The 12,246-nt window shown below is 36.3% G+C and overlaps 1 protein-coding gene across 5 annotated transcripts in view, besides 1 other annotated feature; it reads left to right on the forward strand.

Moving 5' to 3' along the window:
• Window positions 1-12,246, forward strand: part of SCAF8 (SR-related CTD associated factor 8) — a 100,867-nt gene that overhangs the window by 51,008 nt on the left and 37,613 nt on the right. For all 5 annotated transcript variants that reach the window (NM_001286188.1, NM_001286189.1, NM_001286194.1 and 2 more), the window contains 3 exons: window positions 3,476-3,637; window positions 8,438-8,591; window positions 10,624-10,754. In NM_001286188.1, coding sequence (NP_001273117.1) covers window positions 3,476-3,637; window positions 8,438-8,591; window positions 10,624-10,754 — 447 coding nt within the window. The remainder of the gene's footprint in view (window positions 1-3,475; window positions 3,638-8,437; window positions 8,592-10,623; window positions 10,755-12,246) is intronic.
• Window positions 8,037-8,237: a silencer, noted in NCBI's record as "peak6234 fragment used in MPRA reporter construct". NCBI's record gives its function as "represses an SCP1 promoter by STARR-seq MPRAs in K562 erythroleukemia cells {active_cell/tissue: K562}" and the evidence as "EXISTENCE:reporter gene assay evidence [ECO:0000049][PMID:32103011]".

The following is a 12,246-nucleotide window of genomic DNA, read 5'->3' on the forward strand; positions in this document are numbered from 1 at the left end:
TTTCAAATATATCTTAAGCTTATCAGTCATTCTTAATCATTATGATTAGAGAAACTTTTGCCTCTTGCTTTATTTAAGAAACCAGGGATGTTTATATAATTACAGTCACTCTTCCGTTTCTGTGGGTTCCAACCCATGGGTTCAGCCTATTGGGATCAAAATTTGGGGAAAAAATATTCCACGAAATTCCAGAAAGCAAAACTTGAATTTCCTATACACTGAGTAGAATGTGAATGAAGTGATGTGTAGGCATTGTATTAGGTATTCACAGTAATCTAGAGCTGATTTAAAGTAGATGGGATGATGTCCGTAGGTTATATGCAAATACTGCCCATTTTATATAAGGGACGTGAGCATCCTCGGATTTTGGTATCTTCAGGGGTCTTGGAACGAATCCCCCAAGGCTACTGAAGGACAACTGTATTTCTTTTTATTCTGAAATTTCTATGTACATCTGTAGAAAAGTACAGAAAACAACATATACAGCCAAATTTTTATAAAGAGAAGACCTATGTAGCTCCCACTCATTTCAAGAAGTAGAACTTTGAAGCCCACAAGCCCCAAGTGCCTCTTCCTAATCATGTCTTGCATACCCCCTACCCAGGTAACCAGTTTGAATTTTGTGTCACGTCCTTGCTTGACATTATAGTTTTACTTTGTATAAAATGAATTCTTAAAGTGGTTTAATGTATTTTAAATTTTTTAATGTAATCCTATGGTATGTATTCTTTTTATACAGTTCTCCTACTCAACATCATGTGTCTAGGATTCATTCTTGTGGTGTGTAGCAGTATTCATTACTATCTGTTGCTGTATATTTTCCATTATGTGAATAGACGGCAGCTTGCCCACTTCTGTTGACATTGTGTGTGTTTTCTAGTTTTTGCAATTCTGAACAGTATTGCTGTGAACAGTGTAATATTTACATATGTAAGGTAATAAATATCCTCATACAGCTTGCATTTCTGTAGGAGTGGAATTGCTGGTTACAGGATATGCATTTCTTCACCATGGCTAGATAATACTAAATTAGTTTTATAATGATTGTACTGATTTACTCTCTTCCTCGCAATGCATGGGTTTGTGGTGCTCCCCATTTTTGTCAGCACTTGGTATTGTTAGATTTAAATTTTTCTAATCTGTCGAGCCATCTTTCTTACATGCCACCATTAGTATTATTCAGTGCTTTGCAGGTACAGCCACATGATTCTGTTTCTACCACTCTAGCTTTGTTGTCTTTAAATTAATATCACTTTTTAGTAGCTGCAGGTGGGAGCACAAATTCTAAAAATAGGATAATTAAGGTGTATTTGTATATTGCAAAATATATGGTCCAACTTACCTAGAAGGTTCTTTGACAAATAACCATAACTGATGATAACCTGCAGATGACAACTTGGATGACAAAATGAAAAATCATGCAAATATACTTAAAGGTGCATTCTCCCTATTCGTTCTTACCTTTCTCCCCCTAAAAAGGCTATTTCTCTATAAAATAAGAAATTGGAAATTACTAGAATATAGTTGAAAAATGGTATATCTATAAAAACTTAATGTGATACGCTTTAGGAAATTATTTAGAGTAAAAATACCGTATGCCATTGTATAACTGCCCAGTGGGTTCACCTTGCCTGCTGCCTAGACAGAGCCAATTTATCAAGACAGGAGAATTGCAATGGAGAATGAGTAATTCACGCAAAGCCGGCTGTGCAGGAGACTGGAGTTTTATTATTACTCAAATCAGTCTCCAAGAGCATTCGGGGTTGGATCAGAGTTTTTAAAGATAATTTGGTGGGTAGGGGCTCGGGAAGTGGGGAGTGCTGTTGGTCAGGTTGGAGATGGAATCATAGGGAGGTCCAAGTGAGGTTTTCTTGCTGTCTTCTCTTCTTGGGTGGGATCGCAGAACTGGTTGAGCCAGATTACCAGCCTGGGTGACATCAGCTGATCCATCCAGTGAAAGGTCTGCAAAATATCTCAAGCACTGATCTTTTAAGATAGTGATGTTATACTCAGGAGCAATTTGGGGAGGTTCAGACTCTTGCAGCCAGAGGCTGCGTGACCCTAAACTGTAATTTCTAATCTTGTAGCTAATTTGTTAGTCTTACAAAGGCAGACTGGTACCCAGGCAAGAAGAGGGTCTTTTTGGGAAAGGGCTATTATTAAATATTTTGTTTCTGAGTCAAACCGTAAACTAAATTCCCTCCCAAGGTTAGTTCGGCCCAGGCCCAGGAATGACAAGGACAGCTTGAAGGTTAGAAGCAAGATGGAGTTGGTTAGGTCTGCTCGCTTTCACTGTCATAACTTCCTCAGTTACAATTTTTGCAAAGGCGGTTTCAATTAGAGAGTCTTAGGAATTCTTGTTTTGAGTCTAATGGTACGTAAAGAGGAAAATTTTAAAGTATTTCAGATTTCTTTGTCTTGATTCTTCTCTCAGGTTTCTAGTTGATGACTTAGCCAAGTTTTCCAAGTATTAAAATTATTTAAAACATTAAATCATACTAAAGAACTTTTTTTGCCATTTTATGTAGCAAAAATGCTAATGTACCAGTGAAGGAAATTCTGTCCCACAAAATGTTAATGTATGTGTATCTAAAGATACTGTGCAGTAAGCTTGCAAGTAAAAGGATTCTTCATTGTGCTTCCCTAACTACATAGGCTAAAAAAGCTTGTGTTGAGAAAGTAGGGGAGGCAGGGCACGGTGGCTCGTGCCTGTATTTCCAGCACTTTGGGAGATCTAGGCAGGAGGATTGCTTGAGCCCAGGAGTTTGAGACTAGCCTGGGCAACATGGTGAAACCAAGTCTCTTCCAAAAAAACATACAGGAATTAGCTGGGCATGGTGCTGTGCACCTGTGGTCACAGCTATTTGGAAGGCTGAGATGGAAGATCATTTGAGCCTGAGAGGTCGGGGTTGTAGTGAGCCATGATGGCACCACTGCACTCCAGGCTGGATGACATAGGATAGATCCCCAGGATTATAGATGTTATATTTGAGAAAAAAAATGGAAACTCTGGCCTCTGTATTTAACAATGTTATAATTTGCCATTTGGCATTGTTCTTTTCATTTGCGTAGGAACCCTTTTGTTGTGTGTTCCAGATGAAGTCTGAGGCATGTTGGCAGTGTGTTTGCTAGAGCCCTTCTTTCCTGAATTTGCTTCTTTCTTCCATGTAGCTTTTCACAGTGGTTAAACAAATTTTAAAAATTATAATGGTACCTTATTTATCACTTTGTTTTATGTCATTGAAGCCAGTTACATAGTACTATTTTAGAACTTCTGATTGTATAGAGTAGCCAAAGTAGATTCTTTAAAATGCCATTCCAGAAACTGATGATATTGGAGTAGTCAATGTATGAATATTCATTACCATAGCATAGGCAATGTCTTTGTATTTACACAGGATTTTTGATGATTTTTGTCTATCAAGAATTTTACCTTTCCGTTTCCTTTCCTTTTCATTCTTCTTTTTTTCATCAGTGTAAACCAGAATACAAAGTACCTGGACTTTATGTTATTGACTCCATTGTGCGACAATCCCGACATCAGTTTGGTCAAGAAAAGGATGTGTTTGCACCCAGATTTAGTAATAACATCATTAGCACTTTCCAGAATTTATATCGTTGCCCTGGGGATGACAAGGTATGCTACTGGTTTTTTTTTTTTGTTTTTTTAAAAGTAGATACAGTAGCCTCTTGGTCTTAATTAGTCTTCAGATTATCTTAGTACAGTCATGTGCCACATAATGATGTTTCAATGACAGACCGCATATACAGTGGTGGTCTCCTAAGATTGTAATACCATATTTTTATTTTACCATTTCTCATTTATGTACAGAAATACCACTGTGTTAAAATTGCCTACAGTATGCAGTACAGTGACATGCTGTACATGTTTGTAGTCTAGGAGCAATGGAATATGCCATATAGTCTAGGTGTGTAGTAGGCTATACCGTCTAGGTTTGTGTAAGTACACATCACACAATGATGAAATCTCCTAATGACGCCATTTCTCAGAACATATCCTTGTCGTTAAGTGGCACAGGACTGTATATTCTCATTTGCTCTTAGTTATTTCAAATTTGAATATTTAATTATTACGGTATCCATATTGCATTTTGTTCTTTGAATTTCTCAAACAGAGAGTATAGAAAGATGTAGCAGATTTGCTACTTTTTAATTTGTTGAAGCAATTGGTGTTAAATAAAATGGCTAAAATAAGCTTTTGGAATTACATGAAACTTATTCACACACACAGTCAATTCAGAATTGTGATTATTTGACATGAGTTGATATTTAACTGCATATTAAAATTCTTCTATTATGGTAGAATTTTATTAATCACACTACTAAGTCTGGTATGTGTAAGATCCAAATGTGTAAATATTCTATAAATAGCAAGTAAAAAAGCTTTGGATCATGAGCGAGCATAAAAAGGAGTTGCTTATCCTTTTATTTGCTCTGAGAGGTTAGCTTATTTATTTTGGATGTTGGAAATTTAGGTGTGCTTTTTCTGACAGGGTTGATTGCAGTGTTGATTTAAGTATGAAAAGATGAGAATAGATGAAGATTCATGTTTGTTTTATGGAAGAACCACAAAACTTGAAAGCTCACCACAAATTATTCACCTTTATATTGAGTATAACAAGATTAAGTAGTTATTTTTCATAACTATTATATAGTCTTGAATCAGAAAAAAATCTTGTTATAATGGATAGCTATGGCGATAAATTTATTTATTTTTTTGAGATGGAGTCTTGCTCTTGTCGCCCAGGCTGGAGTGCAATGGCATGATCTTGGCTCACTGCTACCTCTGCCTCCCGGGTTCAAGTGATTCTCCTGCCTCAGCCTCCTGAGTAGCTGGGATTACAGGCGCCCGCCACCACACTCGGCTAATTTTTTTTTGTATTTTTAGTAGAGATGGAGTTTTGCCATGTTGGGTAGGCTGGTCTCAAATTCCTGACCTTGTGATCCGCCCACCATGGCCTCCCAAAATGTTGGAATTACAAGTGTGAGCCACTGTGCCCGGCCAGAGATAAATTTATTATGCTGTATTCTTTGTGAACTATTCTTGAATATACTCCTTGAGACAGAAAGTTTTTGATTTTTGTTTTTAATTACCTTAGTACTTTAATAATTCTGTGCAGGCAAAAGAATGCTTCTAATTTTTTTTTTTTTTTTTTTGAGACGGAGTCTTGCTCTTTCACCCAGGCTGGAGTGCAGTGGTGCGACCTTGGCTCTCTGCAAACTCTGCCTCCCAGGTTCACGCCATTCTCCTGCCTCAGCCTCCTGAGTAGCTGGGACTACAGGCTTATGCCACCCTGCCCAGCTAATTTGTTGTATTTTTATTGGAGACAGGGTTTCACCGTGTTAGCCAGGATGGTCTCGATCTCCTGACCTCGTGATCCGCCTGCCTTGGCCTCCCAAAGTGCTGGGATTACAGGCGTGAGCCACCGCGCCTGGCCTAGAATGCTTCTTTTAAATGACCTGTCATAATTGATTTTTAAAATAGGTACCTTAGACTACCACTTGAAGTAATGTACTAATCTGAAATTTTATACATGCATTTTTTAGAAGTCACTTTACTGTGATTTAGAAATTTCACTAGTTTGGACTTGGATTTCTGTCAGTTCTGGTGATTAAATCTTTCTTGAATGTGTAGATTTCATAATATAATATCTCATACTAGGGCTTATGGAATAGGGCTTTCTTTTAACCATAGGAGGAGAGAGTAGATTAACATTGTAATCTCAATCATAAATGAAGGACATCGTATGTAGATATATGGAATGATAGTTGTTAGGTGCTGGCCAGTTTTAAAGTATATGATGGGTGGCTTGGAAACGGAAAGATTTTTATATAAAGCAGAAGAACATAAGGCATTTTCCAAGTGCTCATGTTTTAGAGTGGAGAAATAGTCAAATCAGAAAGTATGAAGCAGTCTCTAATTTTCTTGTGCTTCATTTGAAATACACAAATTTGCACATTAATGTAGTTTGGACATAGTTTAAAAATATGTCAGTGTAATATTATGAGGGATTTAAAGTTGAACCAGATCTTTATTCTGAAAATTGCTATTTTACTTTGTAAAACATATACATTTAACAGAATTTTTTTTTTTTTTTTTTTTTTTTTTTTTTTTTTTTTTTGAGACGGAGTCTCGCTCTGTTGCCCAGGCTGGAGTGCAGTGGTGTAATCTCGGCTCACTGCAAGCTCCGCCTCCTGGGTTCACGCCATTCTCTTGCCTCAGCCTCCCAAGTAGCTGGGACTACAGGCGCCCACCACCACGCCTGGCTAATGTTTTGTATTTTTAGTAGAGACTGGGTTTCACCATGTTAGCCAAGATGGTCTCGATCTCCTGACCTTGTGATCTGTCCGCCTTGGCCTCCCTAAGTGCTGGGATTACAGGCGTGAGCCACTGCACCTGGCCTCTTTTTTCGTACTTGATTTTAGCCTCTGTCTTTTTTTTTCCTAATGGAATAAGTGGCATCACGATAGTAGTAACTAGGACTTAGTACTTGTTTGCAGAATAGTTATGTGTTAAACAGTTGTGAATCAGATTGTTTGGTGATAGTACCAAGAAAATAGTTATTACATAATCACTCTGCTTTTATTAGTGATAATATGAATTCAGGATATTGTTACTCTGACATAAGTGTTCTCTGGGTGAAATGTTTATTTCAAGAAGCAAGGTATAATAGATGGAACTGCTGATACTTCTTACAAAATACTGTAGGACATCTTGAGACATTATTCTTCATTGGGCATATTTTTCTGCCTATTAAGTTTGAAGCTTTCAGGATCTGTAAAACTTTAATACAACCAAGGAAGACATATAAGTAGGAATTTTTCTAGTTACCAAGTTTTCTCTAAATACTGCTAATTATGTTACTAGATTTCAGAATTACCCAAGAAATAGAAGTCACTAATAACTAGTCTTTTCAAGTTTATAATACACAGAATATAACAAGAGACAGGCAATAGTTAAATAGAATTTCCCAACTAAATAGATTTTCATATGAAATGACTGAGATTAGGGTATAAGTAATTAAATAGAAGTACGTTATAGTATCGCTATAAGAAGAGCTGTAACAAGGCATATATCTCCCTCCCAAGATGCTCAAAATTTGAGAATGGCTAGACATTTAAAATACTAGCTGGCTTAAACAGTCTGATACAGTTTGGAGGTTCAGAAAAGAGACCCGAGAATCCTTCTGGTATACTGTCTTATTTTATAAATGAGGATGCTAAAGTTTTTTTGTTTTTTTAAAAAATGTGTTGACATAGTTGGCCTGAGACCAGGATCAGCAGCAACGTTATATAGATCGTAAATATTTCATGAATTTTATAGCAGCTGCCATATGACTGACTGGAACCTTACAAAAAATACAAAGAACTCTGACTATTTGAGTAATCCAGAAAGAGGTTGAGACTAAAACAAAAATGTGATTTATTTGGTGGTAAGATGATTAGAGTGTGGGTTGGGATGGGCAATGTTGAGACTCTTTATGAGGAATATAAAATTGGATGCAGTGCTGCAGTTCAGGGGCATATCAAGAAGAGTAAATGAGATGGTTCACAGATGTCAAAAGTCTGCTTGCCAGTGGCAAGCAGGTTTTTTATTTTTTATTATTTTTTTTAATTTACAAAATGGTAAAGGATTCAAATTTTAGGAAATGAAATAATGTAGAACATTATTCATACAGAGGATGATTCATCGTTCTGAGGGCCAGATTAAGTAATGCCAGTATGACATTGACATTCTGCAAGGGGAAAGGGAATAGTAAAGAATAAAGAAGAGGGAATGAAGAGAGAAGAAATGGTTACGCTTCAGATTCTGTCTGTACAGAAGTTTGTCCATCTCTGGTTCAAAGTGTCAGTAGGGAATTAGCATTCATGGCAGGATGCTCAAAAAAGGAAGTAATTTGATTAAATTCTTACATGAGGAAATGCCCTCTCCTCAAGTAGATTGTAAAATGAAAGTTTTAAAATGTCACATTAGATAAGGACTTTGTCCTACAAGTTACGTATTTGTTCAAAAGATAGACATTGTGTGAGACAAAGTTAAAATCAACTATAAATATAACGTTAGTACTGAGATGAATCCTGGCTCATCCTCAGAATCCTTAAGACAGATCTCCAGCCAGCCTTACCATCCATATCATTAGAAGTGACATAAGAGAGGAAGCCTGGATGTCATCTCCGCCTTCAGCTAAGTGGAGCTTTCATTTACTTTGTACCTCTATCCAAATTAACATGTTTTCAAGCACGTTAAGGGTAGCAAATGCAAAAATGATAGAAACATAGAATTTTAGGGCTAGAAAGTACCATTGAAGTATTTTAATTTCTCCTTTCCATCCAGGGCCCAGATAGCCTCTATGAAATGACTGTACTAAGGTTTTGAGAGTAAAAACCAAAATGTCATGTTTCTTTTTTTCTCTAGAGTAAAATAGTGAGAGTACTAAACTTATGGCAGAAGAATAATGTATTTAAGAGTGAGATTATTCAGCCCCTTTTGGATATGGCAGCCGGGATTCCGCCTCCAGTTGTCACACCTGTTTTGGCCAGCACTACCACTGCTATGAGCAATACTCCAGGTATGTTGCTTTAATATAGATTTGTTGTCTAAATATTCTACTCATACTTTTTGGATGACTGTTCATATAAAAAATAATTCGACAGTGCAGGAAAATTTGTCCAGCATTACATAATTGAAAGAAAATATTTGTAGAGAAAAATAAAATTAGATATTATGTTTGTGTGTAATTATTTCTAAAATGTAGAAAACTGATTTTCATTTAATCCACAGAAACATAAATATAATGAACCTTAGAAATTTGGTGTGTCAATTAGATTTTTCCTGATTTAAGTTGTCTGTAACTTCTTATACTTGCATTTGTATCAACTTGGTATTTATAGGATACTAGGGGGACTTAATATTTTTTAAGAAACCCTGAAACAATTATTTAACAAAACCAAAATTTCAAAATCGTGTTCTCTTGAGGCATTTAAATGACTATGATAAAAAATTTTTATCAAAGTAATTTAAAAATTTTTTGAAATTTTTATGAAAAAATTTTTTTCATAATTTTTTCATAATTTTTTAAATAATTTTTTCAAAAATTTTTATGAAAAAATTTTTATCATAGTTCCAGCCCTGCGCAGTGACTAACACCTGTAATCCTAGCACTTTGGGAGGCCGAGGCAGGCAGATCGCCTGAGGTCAGGAGTTGGAGAGCAGCCTGGCCAATATAGTGAAACCCTGTCTACATTAAAAATAAAAAAATCAGCTGGGTGTGGTAGTGGGTGCCTGTAATCCCAATTACTGGGGAGGCTGAGGCAGGAGAATCGCTTGAACCCAGGAGGCGGAGGTTGCAGCGAGGCGAGATCGCGCCGTTGCACTCCAGCCTGGGCAACAAGAGCAAAACTCTGTCTCAAAAAAAAAAAAAAAAAAAAAAAATTTTTTTAAATCATAGTTCCAAGAATTAAATTGGTTAGCATTTCATAATTTTGTATGTATTTTGTGTGTGTGTGTGTATGAACAAAAATTGATGTACTGTTTTTTGAGACCTTGCTCTGTCACCCAGGCGGGTGTGCAGTGGTGTGATCATAGCTCACTGCAGCCTCGACCTCCTGGCTTCTAGTGATCCTCCCATCTCAGCCTCCTAAGTAGGTGGGACTACAGGCATGCACTACCATGCCTGGCTAATTTTTTTTTGTTGTTATTGTTGTTAGAGACGGAGTCTTGCTGTGTTGCCCAGGCTGGTCTCGAACTCTAGGGCCCAAGTAGTCCTCCTGCCTTGGGCTCTGAAAGTGTTGGGATTACAGGCATGAACCACTGTACCTGGCCCAAACATGGTTTTATATTATGTGTACTTACTATAAAATTTTTTTATTGAAGATTGTATTTTGAATATTTCCTCATGTTACTGAATTTTTGTCTCTAAAGTAAGATTTTTAATGGCTGTTAAGTATTGTAGGCTTTAGAAGTACAGTAGTCTCCCCACATCCACAGTTTTGCTTTCCATGATTCCAATTACTTGCAGTCAACCACAGTCTGAAAATAGGTGAGTATAGTACAATAAGATATTTTGACAGATAGGGAAAAAGAGAGAGAGACCATATTCACATAACTTTTTTCACAGTATAGTTTATTATTAGTTAGTGTTGTTAATCTCTTACTGTACCTAATTTATAAGTTAACCTTTATCATAGGTATATGTGTACGTACAGAAAAAAACATAGCATATATAGGGTTTGGTGCTAGCTCTGGTTTCAAGCATCCACTGGAGTTCTTGGAACACATCTCCCAAGCATAAGTGGGGACACTATAGTAACTTAGTTAATTGAGGAGGACAAATTTGGACAGATCCTTTTGGTGGGGGGGGGGGGGTGTGGGGGGTGTGTGTGTGTGTGTGTGTGTGTGTGTGTGTGTGTGTGTGTGTGTGTGTTTAATGTACCTAATTCTGTAAAGGATTTTAAGTGATTTTTTCAAAGTGGACACAATAAAATAAAAACAATATGCGTGCATGTGTTTTATAAAAGTAATAAAACAAGTTATTCTGCTTTTTCTAGTCTTAGTTACTTACTTACATATTTATTTGGGGGGTGTGATGTTCTTTTTAAAAGGAACTCCTGTGACACCTGTTACTCCGGCCAATGTGGTCCAAGGCTTACCTGATCCGTGGGTATCTCAGATAACAAATACAGATACACTTGCGGCTGTAGCTCAGATCTTGCAAAGTCCTCAAGGCCAGCAGGTGAGCGGTTTTTCTGTTATATCAAGAATAATTTAGAATTTAATATTTTCCTAATGTATTACTTTGTAACATACCACCTAGAGAATATGTGCTTTTTTTAGTTTTATAAAAATGGGACCATTATGTATACTTTGTTACTTACTTAAGTCATTTAATAGTGCATCATGAATGCTTTCATGTCATTAAAAATTACTTTATAAAAATTTATTCTGTACCAAAATACGGAATTAGCACATAGTTTTGCCAAATATTATTAGGTGCTATCACACTCCAGTAACAAGACAGGAGTCCTATCTTAGAGACCTCCTCCTATCTTAAGGGGGACAGATGGTAAAAAATAGTATGACAAAATTATCGTAGGTAGTGATTAATGACATTAAGAAAGGGTAAATCTATAGTGACTAGATTTGGGGGAAGGGGTCAGGAGTAGAGCGGATAGCCAACAGGAGGTGTATTTGAGGAAGTGACATTTGAATCGAGACATGAAATGGACTAGTCATGGCAGGACAGGAGGATAGGAAATAGAATTGCAAGTATAGAGGTCCTCAGGTGGGAAGCAATGTGGTGTATTGTAGGAATAGAAGAAGGCTTCTGTGGCTAGAACTTCAGGAATAGAGGGGAATCACAAAACATGTACGAATTGATTCAGGAATGGGAAGGATTGCTGTCTTTATAATACCAGGTTTTTCCATTGTATCTATACATATACTTTTATTGTTCAAATCTTTTATGTCTCTTAATTAAGCTTTGTAGCTCTTTAAATGTAGATTCTTCAAATTTCTTAGATTTATTTCCATGAATATATTTGAATAGTTTGGCTTTTTATAGTCAATACCAGTTTCTCTTAGTTTTCAGCTGATTTTCTTTCATTTTCCGTTATATTATTTGTAACTAATGATAATTCTGTGTCCTCAGTTTAAGTACTTACATATAGTTTTCTTAATGTATTGCACTAAGTTATGGAAGAGATCATAATAGAAATAATGATAGTGTACTCATTGTTACTTTTTTCAGACTCATAGAAATACCTCATTTTTGTCCCACTGTGATGTTGGTTTTGTTTCGAGATATGTATTTTTTATGAGGGGCATATTCTCCTTTTTCTAGATGATAGTGTTTTATGAGGTTTTGATTAAAAATTTTATTAGTGAAGATAATAGTATGGTTTTCTGATTACTAGACTTCATTATAATGATTCAGCATTGCAATCCTGTTCTCTCTCTCTCTCTCTCTCTCTCTCTCTCTCTCTCTCTGTCTCTCTCTTTTTCTGACCCTCAAATTCACGCTATCCTTTGAGGCAGTACATTTAAATATTCTGTAATTTTTGTTTTGCTTTGAAGTGTAAACTATTTCACAACTAGTTTCTATTTGCACCTCTACTGAGATGGGTTCCTAGTTTTTATCACCCTACTCTATTTTCAAATTAGGATTATTGCTTGCTTTGTGAGATCAATTTAGAAATGGTTACCTTTTTCTGTATTCTGTGCAGTAC

Source organism: Homo sapiens, chromosome 6, assembly GCF_000001405.40.
Source record: "Homo sapiens chromosome 6, GRCh38.p14 Primary Assembly".
Lineage (NCBI taxonomy): Eukaryota > Metazoa > Chordata > Mammalia > Primates > Hominidae > Homo > Homo sapiens.